Below are 17459 nucleotides of genomic sequence, written 5' to 3'. Positions count from 1 at the left end.
AGACAGAATGTCTCTTTTCCAAGCAAATTTTACACAGCCAAGTAGAGGCGAGCATATATCCTGTCCCATTTGGTCCCAGGCATAATGCACTCTAGCATTTGGAATGCAGTAATCTTATAAGGTCGCTTTTTTTTTTCTCCCAAATTTGACAAGAAACTGTTGAGAGACATGAGGTGAATGGCCATACTAGTTTAATCATTACAAAATAATATAGTTTTACCTAGTAAGACAGCTAATTTTAACTGTGTGAGAGGACAGCCCTTTAAGGGAAACTATTACAATTTTCTGTTTTAAAGAAAAAAAATACTTATTCTAAGCTCCAAATTCTACAAACAACTACATTATTATATACAAACTTATAGGAATCCTTGTGCTATCACCATCAACAGAGCATAAGCAAAGTCCAGGAAAAATAAGGTATGACAATGTAAAATCAAGCCTTTTGATCTCTTCGCAGCACAAAACCACTGTCAGTCATGAAACAGGCCCCTGCCTCCTGGACTGTTACTAGAAACTTAGTTCACTAAGTATAATGAGTCAAAAGGGAAGTCATAGGAAAATATGAGTTCTAGACAGTGAAACACCCATCCCAATGATTCATAATATAAATTGTTTAGACATAATTTACTTCAGAGAAAAAGGAGACTCCCACACGTAATAGACATTATATTCAGCTGCTTAAAAAAACGAGAGAAACAAAGTGACATGGCTTTGAAAGCAGCACTTTGCTATATTAGGCTACGAACAGCCAGCACTGAGTATCTAGGATGGGCTAGACATTATGACAAGCACTGGGCCTGTGTCATCTCCAGTTCTCACAATGACCTTAGGAGTGAGAAATTATTCCTTTCCTTTCCTTTCCTTTCCTTCCTTCCTTCCTCTTCCTTCCTTCCTTCCCTCTCTCTCTTTCTTTCCTTCTTTCTTTCTCTCTCTCTTTTTTTTTTTTGATACAGTCTTACTCTTGTCACCTAGGCTGGAGTGCAATGGCACTATCTTGGCTCACTGCAACCTCCACTTCCCGGGTTCAGGTGATTCTCCTGCCTCAGCTTCCCTAGTGGCTGGATTTACAAGCACCTGCCACCATGCCCAGCCAATTTTTTGTATTTTTAGTAAAGATAGGGTTTCACCATGTTGGCTGGCTGATCTCCAACTCCTGAATTCAGGTGATCCACCCACCTCAGCCTCCCAAAGTGCTGGGATTACAGGCATGAGCCACCGCACCCAGCCTCATTTCATACATGAGCCACCTGGGGTTCAGAGAGAAACTATAGTTAGATGCTTTGCATGTGGAAGTGCCTGGACCCTAAAACCATGCATGATCTTTCTCTATCTCTTGATGCCTGATTACACCGTAGGATACTGTTATTTGATGAAAGGCTAAGATAAAGTATAATAATATCCAAAGCAAAGTAAGCCCCGTTGAATACAAAATAATCACATCCTATAATAATTAAATTAAAAATTAAAAACAAAGGAACTCAGTGTGAAATTAAGTCAGATGTTGAAAATAGCATTTCTTTTGGGGAAAAAAGTGCTATTGAGAGATGAGGCTGTGTGGTCTTGAACAGACAGAAGTTACCATGATAGAATAACTTGGGATCCTGTTGTTCTGGGCTGTTCCTTAATTCGCCCTTGAGGACTCTTTTCTGGCAAATCACCTGTGTCGTGAGCCGATGTTAAGACTCATTAACTATCTCTCCCAAGCAAAGAGTACAAAGATAAATCCCCCACAGCAAGGAAGCAGCCGTACTGTAATCTCCTACTGCCGCTTCCAGTCTGGCCTACTCAAATCATCTCTCCCAAATTCTCTTTCTCCTTGTCCTTGAACATAAACAAAGAAGACTTTCTCATATTAAACATGCTACTGCCAACAATTACGAAAAAAAAAAAAAAAAATAGGCCAGGATTTGTCTAATTTGGCCAGAAATACTATCTGGGTTTTTACAGAAAATATTTGCCAAACCCTGATCTAGATAAATTAGGTGATTTTAGATTGGATAATTCTTTCTGTGTTGAATGATCATAATATAAACATAACTGATTTAGAAAGACAAATTGTTCAGTATTCACAGGTAAGGAACAAAGATAATGAATGAGCTTGTGTCTGCTACTTGTTTTCATGGTACACCCCCTCATTAAATGCCTTAGCTGGCATTTTTGACAACATCTCTAGTTGTTTGCTAGCAGAAAATTAATGCTGACCAACTTTCAAATTTCCTAACTCTTATTTTTGTGTTTCAAACATAACATCACCTGATAAATTATTCCTTGCAGCCTCTGAGTGGCAGGCCAGCCCATCTATTTTCTCCCTCAGAATAACAGCAACAAAGATCGACTTGCTTCTTTCATTATTTACACGTGAATCCTCATCAACTACTTTATCCAACCCCTATGCTGAGAGTCCTCACATACTGGAAACTTAACTTCAGCAGCAGACATGTGTGAACAGGCTTCAAAGGCAGCTTCCAAATGTACTGTCCTTTTAGGATCAGAGCCCAGAAAGCCTCACGGGACATGATGGCTTTTCTTGAGAAAAGTTGGGCTGCACTGTAAGTGTGAATGATGTGCAGAGGAGACGCTAAAGGAAGATGGATGTTTCATGTTGCAGCTGAGCCTGCTCCACCCTCCTTAGACATCGCACAGCATTTTCCATCTTGTGCAATGCTGCCATCAGGTTGTCAAGAAAAGTCATGAGTGGGAGTCACGGGACAGTTATTTATTTCCAACGACTCGTTCGCTTGCTAAAACACAAGCAGGAACTTCACAAACAGAATTTCCTGAGACCATGCTAGTGGACGTGCCGAAGGCAGTCTAATGAGGCAGAAAGACTGGGATTTGGGACACCAGTGACCAGGTTTAAACTCATTCTCCATTTCTTTGTCAACATAGCAAGAGGCACTTAACTGCTCAGAGTGTCAGCACCCCTCACCTGGAAGATGAGGTGTTTCTCATAGGGCTGTTTGAGAATTAATGTGACAATATAGGTAACATACCTCATTGCATACCTAGCAGGCGTGCAATAAATATTATTATATTATTTCCATCCACTAGGATTCTACACTCTTTTGATGTTTTGAGACACATAATACTTACAACAGCCCCCTGGAAATACTATACTCTTAAAATGGCCAAAAAGACACACACACACACACACACACACACACACACAACTTACTTGTATGTAACATAAACATAATCTTTGCATAACTCGTTGGAGAAAGACCACCCAGTCTGGGTCTCAGTGTGGTGATTCATCTCTCTGGCTTATATTCATCTGCAGAGTGAGAGGATGGAACCAAATGCTCTCGTAGGGCTGCAGCGATGATCAGTTTCTGTGGTACTCCAATCCTGACACCTGTGAGTGTGTTGCTCACGGGTTTCAATTATCCATTTGTCTTTATTTGAATTGGTACCAAGGAGTGTGTTGCTCACAGGTCTCAATTATCCATTCGTCTTTATTTGAATTGGTACTAAGTACAATATTGCATTTATACTTGGCCTGGAAATGTGATTCTGTACTTTAACTTACGCATGAATAGGAGATTTTGTAAATTTGCTTTAAATAATATAATGAAGTCCCACCTTCAGGCTCCCTCTCTGTCTTCTGCTCACAGCTGAATGCAACAGCCCCTGGTTTCCTGCTCTGTGAGGAATGGCTAGACCACATCTCCTGCTGGTGACAAGTGTCAGAGTAAGCTAGCCTTCTTATCTTTACTCTCCTTCTCTCGCGCTCTTGCTCTCTCTTTCTCTGCGGTTTTTCTCATCACTACTTCCTCATTTGGGGAAGGGAATGAAGTACTTTGGTTTAAATATCTCCACCTGATTTGTAGACTGCATGTGGGAATGAAAGCCAGAGACATGGAATAATACGAACAATAAATGTTTCTGCTAAACTGCGTCAATGTGAACCAAGAAAGATGACTGAGAGTTGATCAAATTCTTTTTCAGAATATGATTGTTATTTGCACTGTTTTTGTCTTCTTATGTCTGATTTCCTTTATAGAACTGAAGTGGTGTCTCTGGTCTCCTGAGATTGTATGCTTCACTCTCTCCTTTTTATATCACACTGCAAGCTATTATTATGAGCACAGCAGTGAACAAAATAAAGCCTCTTACAGTAGGCAGATAATCTCTGCTCCATGAGATAATTATCAGATCTCATGGGAATTTGTTTTTAAACTCACTTCATAATGATGGCCCTCCTCTCTGAAAATGCTTCATCATGTTTAATATAGTGTAGTCATAAACCATGGTGGGATGCATAGAAGTTGTTTAAAAGCCATTTCCTAAGAGGGAAGGGATGGGGAAAGTTAATTATATCTCATGGCCCTCGATCTCCCAAGAGAATAGTCCTTTCCACCTGATAGAAAAGAGTGGTTTGAGAAACCAGGAAATCTGATAAGTAGCTTAACTGTTTTGTAAAAGGTGAGGGGTCCACTTGTACTGGATGTCAAAGCTACTGTCTAAGCGAGAAGCATTTAGAATTGCACACTCCCTAAAGAAAAAGTGACAAGCAGAATAAGGGTCAAAGCTAACACCAAAAATAAAAGAAGAAATCCTTTTGAATCTCAAATCATATGTCTGCAAATACAAGGTTTTGTTTGTTTAATTATGGCAACTATCCTGAAGGCTTTACATATTGGCAAATATAGCAGATAATGAACTCTTGATCCAGAAGTTGTTCAGGAAATGCAGAGCTTAACTAAATTGTCTATTTTCCCTTGGAAGGTACATTGATGTAGTGGGAGGTTGGCAATCTATTGATCCACTCCCAAAATTCCTCTGACCCACACTAATTAAAAAGAAAAGGAAAAAAAAGACCTTGAATATACTCTCTCTGAGCCCAGTTAACTTCTAAGAAATAATCCTGTAAAGACAGACGTACTTGGGCCTCCCTAAATCTGATGTCATTGTCATGCTATTCTGCCTTGTGTCCCATTTTGAGTTTTATCAGTGCCACGTGTAAAAAATAGCAGTTAAATCTTTCACCTTGAAGCAGACACTTAACATTATAGTACTAAGTGAAGTACAGTGGATTTTATCTTGCTCGTAAGGGACAGGAGCACAGATAACCTCTTTGAAGATGTTTTCTTTTTCACTCATTTCTGAAATAAGGTGAGTTGGGGCCTGGTTGTAGTGGGGATTCTTGTTTCTGATGAGAGATCTACTACTTTACCTATAATGCCCTGTCAACTGTCAGAGGTGTTGAAACCAGAATGACTCCATCTTGAGTGAGGGGCAGGAAAATGATGCTGGGACTTGCCGGGCCGCATTCCCAGAAAGTCACACATTTCTCGCCTCTAGATGTTTACAGTTAAGGGAACAGATTAATAATGTTGATTAAACAAACCTGACCTGGGGGTGTCCAGATATCCCGATATCTGGAGAACAAAGGCACTCCTAATTTTGCTTTAAAGATAATAATATTGATTCTTGCAAAATACAGTAATTAAGAAAATTAATCCTTTATCACAAACCCTTGTGGCAGAGCACATCTCCCCGTGTATACAAGCATTGTACCTAGGGTGGACATGTTCCTCCTCTTACTTTTGGAAACGCCCTACTCAGTCTATGGAGTAGCTGTACTTTCACTACTTTCTTAATAAACTTGCTTTTACTTTGCACTGGGGACTCACCCTGATTCTTTCGTGGGAGAGATCCAAGGACCCTCTTGTGGGGTCTGGATCATGACCCCTTTCTGGTAACACAACCTCACAACCTTAAAATTCTAAAATGGAGCCCATCAGAGTCAGGCACAGTAAGAAGAGTACTGCAGTGAGCTGGGAAAGAGAAGCTCATTATCTTCATGACTCAGATCTCATTTTAACATATGTATCTGCTTAGTTAATATATATCCATTATATATCTGTATGTGCCAAGCACGGTGTCTAACATTGTGAGATGGAAAGATGAATTGGTTTGATTACTTGGAAAGAAATAAACAAGTAAATCACATCCACACCAAAATGTAATAAGCTTTGCAACAAATATACATACACTGGGGGAGTATGTATATGCTGGGGGAGAAAAGATACAGGTGATTCTAAATTATTAAAGAAGTTTCCCTAAAGTGTGAGTAAGCATTTGCTTGATAAATTGGAACAGTGGCTAGTGCCTCGTATATCTGGGTGGGATGTACAGACACATGATCTGCATGACTCATTGGAAGTGCTCAAAGCAGTTGGATCTGTCTGTTGCAGAAATGGCAAGTCTTGAGAGCGTTAGAGATGAGGTTAGAGGAACAGAGGGTACTCAATCCGTGAAGGGACTTGCGTGCTAATGAAAGGAGTTTTTACTTTAGAAAGAAAGCCTTGGGGAGCCATTGAAGGACAGTAGGAGATTGGCATGAACAGTCATGTACTTTAAATGTAACCCTCTGGCAGCTCTGTAGACATGCGGAGAAACAAAACCAGAGTAGGAAGAATTGCATGTTCCTGAAAGAAAAACTGACAAGAAAGCCATCAGTGCAAGAAATGATTAAAGCCTGAATCATCATCATCAATTTTAATTGAATGGATATTATAAGCCAGTAGCATGCTAAGTATTTTGTGAACATTATCTCATTTACTCTTCACAAGGAACCTATGAGTGGGTACTCTGTACTCACTTCAATGACGAAGGAACTGGAGGCTCTGAGAGTTTCGAGCTCTTGGCTGAGATTGCACAGGTGTTGGTAAAGCAGAGTTTAGATGCAGCTCAATCTGACTTCAGAATGCATCCATCAGGATGCATCATGCTGTAAACCAAAAGTGTCTGCCACAGATTTAGAGGTGTATATTGCCACAGTTGAGGATGTGCCTGGAATGTGGACTGTGCTTTTTCCAAAGAAGGTTTTGAGAACTTCAATACTACAGGGGGAAAGAGCAGGCAGGAGGGGAAGGAGGAAAGAAAAAAAAGTGGGGGGGAGGTAGAACTTAGGCAGTGTGGTCATTACATTCTTGCGAGGCTTTGATTAGCACTCACAAAAATCTTTGTTTGACATGTGAAAAGAGAGGAGTGGTGGAAAAGGTCAAGTATGTCTTTTCCTGGCTTGGCAAATCTACATTTCACATGTGAAATTACAGTTGTCTGCTTGGGAACAAGAGGAAGGCAGTTTTTTTGTGTGACTTGCTTTCCCTTTGACAGAGAGTTTGGGGTCCTGAGATTTTCTTTTCCTTTCACAAATCTATATTTCCAAAGTTATTGGTAAGAGTAACTTGAAGGAAATTTTGCTATTCATCAAAGAGAATTCAGGTATAGACACAGAGTGTGGGGGGAAAGATGATGAGATATTTCGTGGATGTGCTGAGTTTGAGCTACCTAAAAAAACCCTTAAAACATGGGAAAGAATGGGGTTGAAATGGTTTCGTCAAAGCCATAAAATGCTTCATAGTAAGTAAAGTACATGGGTTTGAATATGTTATTTCAGAAGACAATCGTCAAGTAGTAACAGTGACATTCTGTTTTACTCAGGACCCTACTCTTTGGAGAATTATAGCACTATCAGAAATCTTTTTGCTACATAGAAAGTAATATTTAAAACTAACACTTAAAACACACAGTTATTAATTGCTGTTTTAACAACCCATGAAGTTACTCCTCCAAATTACAGATGTGAAAATACAGGCAAAAAGTGGGAATTTAATCCAAGAGTATGATAATAAATTGGCATGCCTTAACTTGCTCTTGTTTTGAAATTTCCTTCAAAAGGTTTTGTTAGTAGCACATCAGCCTTTGTTCTATTTTATTTCAAAATAGAATCTTATTGAGAATCTAAAGGAAAAAAAGGAAGGGGAAGGAAGAAGGTTTATAATTTAATATTGTGACTTTTTTGACTGCCACATGTGAACCAGACATCCCTGAAGCCTTTGTTCTACTGCGCAAACATGCTACACATCTCGGGACATGCTGGACTCATCCAGATCCACGTGCTTATAAGTTGTTACTTTCATCTAAGAACCATCACTGAGTGCTGTGAAGGTGTAACAGCCTGACTACTTCTTCTTGCCCACTGCCCAGAAAAGCCAATTCACTGAGAACAGCAGGTTTTGCAGCAAAGAAAGAGTTTGATAATCACAGGGCCAACGAAGCAGAAGGATGGGAGATAATTCTCAAATCTGCCCTCCCAAGAATTCAGAGGCTAGGTTTTTTCAAGGGTAGTTTGGTGGGCAGAGGCGTAGGGAATGGGGATGCTGATTGGTTGGGTCAGGGATGAAATCATTGGAGTTGGAAGCTGTCTTCTTATGCTGAGTCAGTTCCTGGGTGAGGGTCACAAGACCAGATAAACCAGTTTCTTGGTATGGGTTATCAGGCCAGGTGGTGCCAGCTGATCCATCAGAATGTAGGGTCAAAAAAATAGCTCAAACACCAATGTTAGGTTTTACAATAGTAGTATCTATAGGAGCCATTGGGAAGGGAGTTAGTTTCAGGAAAGGACGGTTGTCTTTGTTTAAAGTTAAACTATAAACCAAATTCCTCCCATAGTTAGCTTGGCCTATGCCTAGAAGTGAACAAGGGCAGCATGTGAGGTTAGAAGCAAGATGGATTCAGCTATGTCCGATTACTTTCAATGTCATAATTTTTGCAAAGGTGGTTTCAAACATCTTGCTCAGACTGTACTTTTGGGTCCATGGAGCTGGACATGCAAAAATATAGGGAGAGAGGGAAAACTAATGTAGAATCAAATACATGCAGACTTCATTAGATGGCCATAGTGGGGTGGAGATAAATAATGTGGAGAAAGGAGAAGAAGTACTTGTTTGGAGAGTGGACTTGCCATTTTATACAGTGCTATTGGTGAAGACATTGCTGATGGGGTGACATTTGAGTGGGGACCTGAGTGAAGACACTGCCATTCAGGTGTCTGAGGCAAGGAAGTTTTAGGTGATGCCTTTACTATAGCATTGGGTTGCACTTTTCACTCTGTTGAGGTGCTATGCTTGAGCGATGTCTTCATGGGTATAGACCAGAAGCCTGTGGCAGTGATAAGCATTTTCATAAATAACATTTGATGCTATGTCCAATGAGATAATAACATATTCATCTTGGGTACAATAGCCACCTTTCAAACCACTATATTTCCCAGAGCAACTCTGTCCCAAACATTGCATTTAGAGAGACTTTATTGCTGTACAGCAGAAGAGCAGGACATCCAAGATGGTTAGTAACATTTAAATTCACCTGTCATACAATATTTTATAAACTTAGCTTTTATAGAACCAAACAGTAAACAACACAAAGTTAAACCAAATTTTGGCTTCTCAGGGCAGGTATCATGATAGTTCTTTCCAAGTTTCTTTATCCTTCCTTGACCAATCCATTGCTGTAAATCGATAGTCTATGAGAAGAAATTTAATATCAGTTGCAACCTATGTCTTGAGGAGAATTAACCAAACAACAAATTTGTTTTGTTTTACAGAGTTATCTATAGATACTGTGTTTTGAACTATTTGTTCTCTGCACTTATAAGAAATAGATAAGGTTTAGGTTTTGTCAAATCTTTCCAGCACAAATTCAGGGTTAGCTAACGTAATGTCCATTGTCCTAGCTTCATCTAAGTGTCTTATGAGTCAGTCCCAACTTATTCCTTTCCCAATGCTTGGTCTATAATTGTCTGGGATGCTTGTCTTTAGTCTCCTTTGCATCTAGGTTGAGCTTTACAGCAAAATTCTCATGTTTCCTAAGACAGAAGTCTCTTTGGATGTACATCTTCTCCTAAATCAAAACACTTCACTCTTTTTTTTTTTTTTTTAATTTTGAAAGTAATTTTCCCAGGACAAGAGTTTTACATGACCTCCTTTTCAAAGTATACTTCCAATGAATTCACATTAATAGAAAACAGTACAGAGTAAGTTGATAATTATGAATAGTCAGCAAGTCTCCATTTTGCACAAATGGAAATGGAGAAAACAAGATTGATATTTTCCTAAATGTTTTCAATTTAACGCTGCATCAAATCAGAGTCTTGGAATTCATTTTATAAAGTGAAAGGATATTTCTCTCTCTGTTGGTTCAAGGAAGAGGGAACATTTTCATTTCCTTTGTAGAGACGTTTTTGTTAATTTTCAACACTTGCTTTTTTATAGCCAGTCTCTGAAATGTCATTAGGTAGCATTAAATAGTAAATTCAAGCCTTTAGATCTCAATTTAACTGGCTGAAATGAAGAAAGAGATGGAAGGCTTTTATTTAATAGAGAACATGGCCAGGCATGATGGCTCATGCCTGTAATTCTAGCACTTTTGGAGGCCGAGGTGGGAGGATTGCTTGAGCCCAAAAGTTCAGGACCAGCCTGGGCAACATGGCAAGATTCTATCTTTACAAAAAAATTTAAAAATTAGCCTGGCATGGTGGCACATGCCTATGGTCCCAGATACTTGAGAGGCTGAGGCAGTGGGGATCACTTGAGCCCAGGAGGTAGAGGCTGCAGTGAGCCAGTGAGCTATGATTGCACCCAGGCACTCCAACCTGGGTGACATAGAGATACCCTGTCTCAAAAAAAAAAAAAGAACATATAGCAGGAATCTTCCATATTAATCTTCCACATTAGTAAATCTCCTTTTTTTTTTTTTTTTTTTTTTTTTTACTTTGTCAAATTCTTTTTTTTTTTTTTAATTGATCATTCTTGGGTGTTTCTCGCAGAGGGGGATTTGGCAGGGTCATAGGACAATAGTGGAGGGAAGGTCAGCAGGTAAACAAGTGAACAAAGGTCTCTGGTTTTCCTAGGCAGAGGACCCTGCGGCCTTCCGCAGTGTTTGTGTCCCTGGGTACTTGAGATTAGGGAGTGGTGATGACTCTTAACGAGCATGCTGCCTTCAAGCATCTGTTTAACAAAGCACATCTTGCACCACCCTTAATCCATTCAACCCTGAGTGGACACAGCACATGTTTCAGAGAGCAAGGGGTTGGGGGTAAGGTCATAGATCAACAGGATCCCAAGGCAGAAGAATTTTTCTTAGTACAGAACAAAAAGAAAAGTCTCCCATGTCTACTTCTTTCTACACAGACACAGCAACCATCCGATTTCTCAATCTTTTCCCCACCTTTCCCCCTTTTCTATTCCACAAAACCGCCATTGTCATCATGGCCTGTTCTCAATGAGCTGTTGGGTACACCTCCCAGACGGGGTGGTGGCCGGGCAGAGGGGCTCCTCACTTCCCAGAAGGGGCGGCTGGGCAGAGGCGCCCCCCACCTCCCGGACGGGGCGGCTGGCCGGGCGGGGGCTGACCCCCACCTCCCTCCCGGACGGGGTGGCTGCCGGGCGGAGACGCTCCTCACTTCCCAGATGGGGCGGCTGCCGGGCGGAGGAGCTCCTCACTTCCCAGACGGGGCGGCTGCCGGGCGGAGACGCTCCTCACTTCTCAGACAGGGCGGCGGGGCAGAGGTGCTCCCCACATCTCAGACGATGGGTGGCCGGGCAGAGACACTCCTCACTTCCTAGACGGGATGGCAGCCTGGAAGAGGCGCTCTTCACTTCCCAGACTGGGCAGCCAGGCAGAGGCGCTCCCCACATCTCGGACGATGGGCGGCCAGGCAGAGACGCTCCTCACTTCCCAGACGGGGTGGCGGCCGGGCAGAGGCTGCACTCTCGGCACTTTGGGAGGCCAAGGCAGGTGGCTGGGAGGTGGAGGTTGTGTCGAGCCGAGATCACGCCACTGCACTCCAGCCTGGGCACCATTGAGCACTGAGTGAACGAGACTCCGTCTGCAATCCCGGCACCTCGGGAGGCCGAGGCTGGCAGATCACTCGCGGTTAGGAGCTGGAGACCAGCCCGGCCAACACAGCGAAACCCCGTCTCCACCAAAAAAATACGAAAACCAGTCAGGCGTGGCGGCGCGCGCCTGCAATCGCAGGCACTCGGCAGGCTGAGGCAGGAGAATCAGGCAGGGAGGTTGCAGTGAGCCAAGATGGCAGCAGTACAGTCCAGCTTCGGCTCGGCATCAGAGGGAGACCGTGGAAAGAGAGGGAGAGGGAGACCGTGGGGAGAGGGGAGAGGAACACTTCACTCTTATCTTTTGCTTCCTACTAAATGTCAAGCTTCTTCCCAAACTCTCCACTTTGCAGCTCATACTCTGTTAAACTGGAAAATAGTTATCACTTCATAAAATTGTGTGCAGCCAGCATAGATAATAAATGTAGGCAATTAATAAAGAAGCTATGGTTTTGTGAGCTTAATGTGGACCTGGTTTCTAGTTCTAATAAACATAGATATGGACATTTCAACATTAGGTTTCAAATCTTATTACTAAACAAGATAGATATGCATCAGATGATTCAGTCCTCTAAAGGCCAAGCAAAGAAATGATTATAATTCCAGAGCAGCAGTAGCAGTAAACACTTTCTTGTGGCTTTATTCCAGTGTCAGCACTTCATTTTAATGATAACTGGATCTCAGCTGTTCATTGTGAAATCCTTGAATGTACTTAACAACCTGCTTAGAGTATATTGAGTTTATAGGGATGACCAGATGAAGCTTGACAATTTATTGTAGGGAAATTGTGCAGATTATGTGGGAGATATTTATTGTAATGTGGGGCTGAGTAGCAGCATACAAAATGTAAAGATTTGAATAGGGCTGCATTGAAGCAGGTGGGGTCTTACCTGCCACCTATCTTCATCATTGTCAGGTGTCTCCTCTAATTAGCATATTTCTCTTAATTCTTGATTAGCAACTGCCAGAGCTCTCCCAAGAGTATAACACTAATATGCTAATTTGTATAGCACTTTGCAGTTTGCAGAGCATTTTTTCACACATATTATCTTTTTAATGGTGTTAACAATCCAATGAAGTAGGGATTTTTATGGTTATTTTATAAGGGAGAAAAAGAGGCTTAATGTCATTGACCTCATATAGCTAGTTGAGTAAGGATGGCCTTCTTCCTCCCAATACAATGCATATTTCTTTGGGTTTTGCCTTGTTTGGCTGTCCAGCATGCACTTCTCTCTCCTTATTAATAGAAGAAGAGCAGGTCATCGCCATTATGTGTGTTCCTGTGGGTCAATAGGGCCCTGCCTCCCACTGGAGAGGCTGCCAAAGGCCATATCCCCCTCTCTCAAGACCTGGCAGCAAGGGTGTGACTTATGACCTGGGATGAATATATTTGTTTTCTGGGTCTTTGTATCTTGAGGGAAAAGAAATGCAAAGATAAAGGAGTGACCAGCATATACTTAGACTTTGCTAGGTTTGTCTGGCAATGATGACATTTGCAAGACCCAACTGTATACATGGAAGTCCACATGCCATAAAACTAAATATTTAAAAGTTGTAGGTTAATCTTAAAAACTGCTTAATCATATACATAATATGTATATCTATTCTACTCCCTGGAAAAATGTGCCTTCATAAAAACCCAGGTGGCCATGTTTGAGTTTAGAATTCTTAGCTCCCTGGGGCTTGCATGCTGGATTCTGGAAGCTTGGGAATACTGGCCTCCAGTGTTTGGTCTTAGTATGCGAGCCCTTTTCCCCTAGATTCTTGCTCTTGGCTGTGTTTTGCTCTGTAAGAAATTTGTGCCTACACAAGTGGACAGCCTGACCTATAGATCTAAGCTTCATCCATAACCCCCAACAGAAAGCTGCATGTTGGCTACTCCTAGGTCCACCTGTATGCAGTTTCTGTTCGAGTGGGTGGAGCCTGTGAAGAGGACTGCATAGGCTTTGAGTGAGTTAAGGACTACTTGTGCAAACAATCCTGGGGTCATACGTGTCCCAACATGGTCTCAAGGCAGGGCTTGGGATCTGGGTAACATGCATCCTCAACTTCATAGACTCTTGCCTTAGGGACAAGGCCACAGGGCCAGAGTTTCTTTAAAACCCAGAGCTGGGGCAATGGCCCTTCTTGCCTGGGCCTAAGAGTGGTCCTGGGTATTGGCATTCCATCTAGGAATTTGTTGCAACTTGGCTTCTAGAACTTCTTTTGTTCTTACTGGTTGTTTAAGCAGGTTCCCCTACATCACCTTTGTTTTCTGAGCCCTCTACATACTTCCAGTTGATTCATTTATCTTAACATAGCCAACTTCATTTTTTTTTTCTTGTTGCTTGTACCTGGGAACCTTGCTTGATACACGCAGTCTGTCATTTTCCACCCCCCACAGGATGAGAATGGTAGAGGATTAGCAATAACTGGACAGTGATTGATGAAAACAGCTAATGATAGTCTGAGCAATGTTAAGTCTCATCCATCTGTGATTAATATTCCACTGTCACCATGGAAAAACAGGCAGGTAGAACTACTCCTCAGCCTCTCTCTCTATTCCATCAGGCTCACCATTTCTTATTGTCTTCCTTCCAGGGTAATGTAAGTTAACCCTTCTGGTGAAATATTCAGGGAGCAACATAGTACTTTGTGCTGCTTGCTGTTAACATTAAAATGCGATTTGGTTATTTTTTAAAATTAAAAATATCTTACATGTTACCAAATCAATAGATGCTCATTATAGGAAAGACTTGTAAGTATAGATGAATAAAAGGAGACACACCATAATCATATGCTCACACTGCCCAGAGACAACCATTACTATTAATAGATAACTTTCCATGCATATCTTTAAGAAAAATGATCACACGGTACATGCTCATTTAAAACTGTTTTAGTCATTAAACTCCATATTATAAGCATTTTCATTTCAATAGGTACGTTCACAGCTTTTTTAAAAGGGGAGAATATTGAATCTTTAAATAATGTGAAATTATCTAAACTAATACTTAATGTTGGGCATTTTGATTATCTTAAATTTTTATTATCAGAAACATTATTAGTGAACATTCTTGAAGTGAAATAATTATACATGTGGTTAATTATTTCCAAAGGATATATTTCTATAGGTGGAATATTCATTTCAAAGACTTTTCATACCTAGAGTAATTTAGTACTATTTAAAAGCCTATGCAAAGTAATTACAAATTGAACAGTATTCATCTAGCATATATTTTGATTAAGAATTAGTAAAGTGTGATTAAAATCCAGTACTATTCATCGTTCAATTTATTACATATACTACACTTTGGCAAGATTTTAAAATAAATTTGGAGGGAAATGAAGATTTTTTTCATTTAAGTATGACACACTTCACTGTTTCTCTTTTTTTAACAACTTTGTTAAGATATAATCTTCACACCACAAAATTTACCCACTTATAAAATACAATTTAATTATTTTTAGCATATTTACAGAGTTGTACAGCCATCATCACAGTCAATTTTAAAACACTCTTTATGATCTCTAAAATAAATTCTGCACTCAGTCAGGGCTCCTAAATCTCCCCATTTCACCAGCCTTGGGTAATCACCTATCTAGCTTCTGTCTTTATAAATTGCCTATTCTGTACATTTGTTATAAGTGGAATCATACAGCCATCCTTGGTGACTATCTTCTTTCACTTAACATGATTTCAAGATTCATTCACGTTGTAACAAGTATCTGTACTGAATTCCTTTTTATTGCTGAATAGTATTCCATTTAATAGTATGAATGAGGGCATTTGTTTGTCCCTTCATCAGACGGACACTTGGGTTGATTCCACTTTGGGGCTATATGAATAATGCTGCTGTATACATTTGTGTACAGACTTTTATGTGGACACATGGTTTCATTTTTCTTGGGTATTCACCTAGGAGTGAAATTGCTTGATCATGTGGTAACTCTGTTTAACTGTGTGGGGAACTGCCAGACTGTTTTCCAAAGAAGTTGCACATTTTATATACACACCAGCAGAACATGAGGGGTCCGATCTCACCACATCCTCACCAGTACTTGTGATTGTCTGTCTTTTCTACTGTAGCCATTCACTTCACGCTCGGTGTGAAGTGGTATCTAATTTTGGTTTGTATTTGCATTTCCCTGATGGCTAATCAAGCTTCTCTCTCTCTCTCTCTCTCTCTTTCTCTTTTAATATTAGCCCTTTTAAAAAGTCTAGAAATATTACAAGTAAGATATTAACTCCATTTCACAATACTTTATGTTGATAAGTGAATCGGCTTTCTTTTAAAATTATTTTCTAATGAAATAATTCAACTCAGTCCATGGACCTACAGTTATTGTAGTTTAAAAAATTTTATGTTTCTAATAGATGATGATATAACAAAACATTATTCTACTTCTTATAAATGTAGACATTCATTATTATCTGTATGTGGTTTTCAAAAAATTATTTATGATTTTATCAAGAGTGAGACTAAGCTTCAGTCATTTTCTATTAATAAAGAGGCACTAGATATCTCTCATCAGATTGCTATATTCTCTGATAGAAAACTTGAAATATACCTTTAAAAACATATTTTAACAGATCTATAACTGAGATTCATTATAAATTTCCTATTTAGTGTGCTTAAAACTTTTATCAAAAAGATAACTTTTTACTGTTAATATTTGACTCAGTTCAAAGGAGGACATACAATGTGAACCAATGGTGATATAATGTTAAATAAACACAATGCAGTGAATGATTTAATTGAACATTGAAAGTTAAGTCTTGCTTTAGATAGAATAACTATGTGACAATACTTTGAAAAGTATAGGTAAATAAATATGTAGCTTTATTTTATGATATAAAAATGGGCCAGGCACAGGGGCTTACGCCTGTAATCCCAGCACTTTGGGAGGCTGAGGTAGGTGGATCAGTTCATGTCGGGAGTTCAAGACCAGCCTGGCCAATATGATGAAACCCTGTCTCTACTAAAAATACAAAAATTAGCCGGCTATGACAGTGAGCGCCTGTAGTCCCAGCTACTCGGGAGGGTGAGGCAGGAGACTCGCTTGAACCCAAGAGGTGGAGGTTGCAGTGAGCTGAGGTCGTGCCACTGCACTCCAGCCTGGGCGACAGAGTGAGGCTCCATCTCAAAAAAAAAAAAAAAAAAGAAAATGGCATTCAGCACTGAGGTAACAAACTTCAGTACAACTTGATACTTTGAAGAAAAACGGAAGGATAGAGCAGTAAACTTGCTTTCAGTAAAAAAATCCACATGCATATATTGTATGTCTCAGGTGTATTTGCAGAAAATTTTGTTCTCGAATGGATAAAAGCATGCAAACTTCTTTGAATTCAACAAAAAATATTCAGAGAGCAATATTTGAGAGGTAAGCTGGAACAGGTATTTCATCAGCAAACTTAGAGTTGGTTCCCAGAGTTGCTGGAAGAATCAAGCTTTATATTGTTATGTATTCTTTCTCTTTTTTCTTTTTTTTTGAGATGGAGCCTCGCTCTGTCGCCCAGGCTGGAGTGCAGTGGCGCGATCTCAGCTCACTGCAAGCTCCACCTCCTGGGTTCAAGCCATTCTCCTGCCTCAGCCTCCCAAGTAGCTGGGACTACAGGCGCCCACCACCACGCCCAGCTAATTCTTTGTATTTTTAGTAGAGACAGGGTTTCACTGTGTTAGCCAGGATGGTCTTGATCTCCTGACCTTGTGATCCTCCCACCTCGGCCTCCCAACGTGCTGGGATTACAGGCTTGAGCCGCCGTGCCCGGCCTATATTGATATGTATTCT

The 17459-nt window shown here is 40.5% G+C and overlaps 1 long non-coding RNA gene across 1 annotated transcript in view; it reads left to right on the top strand.

Annotated features, from left to right (window-relative positions):
* LINC02492 (long intergenic non-protein coding RNA 2492) overlaps positions 1-17459 on the top strand; it is a 139764-nt gene that overhangs the window by 3189 nt on the left and 119116 nt on the right. Inside the window, exon 2 of the long non-coding RNA NR_110436.1 lies at positions 3615-3691. This is a non-coding gene — a long non-coding RNA (long intergenic non-protein coding RNA 2492). The remainder of the gene's footprint in view (positions 1-3614; positions 3692-17459) is intronic.

The sequence above is a fragment of the Homo sapiens genome, chromosome 4 (assembly GCF_000001405.40).
Source record: "Homo sapiens chromosome 4, GRCh38.p14 Primary Assembly".
Lineage (NCBI taxonomy): Eukaryota > Metazoa > Chordata > Mammalia > Primates > Hominidae > Homo > Homo sapiens.
The sequence above is the reverse complement of the archived record's forward strand: the minus strand, read 5'-3'. Positions and strand labels throughout refer to the sequence as shown.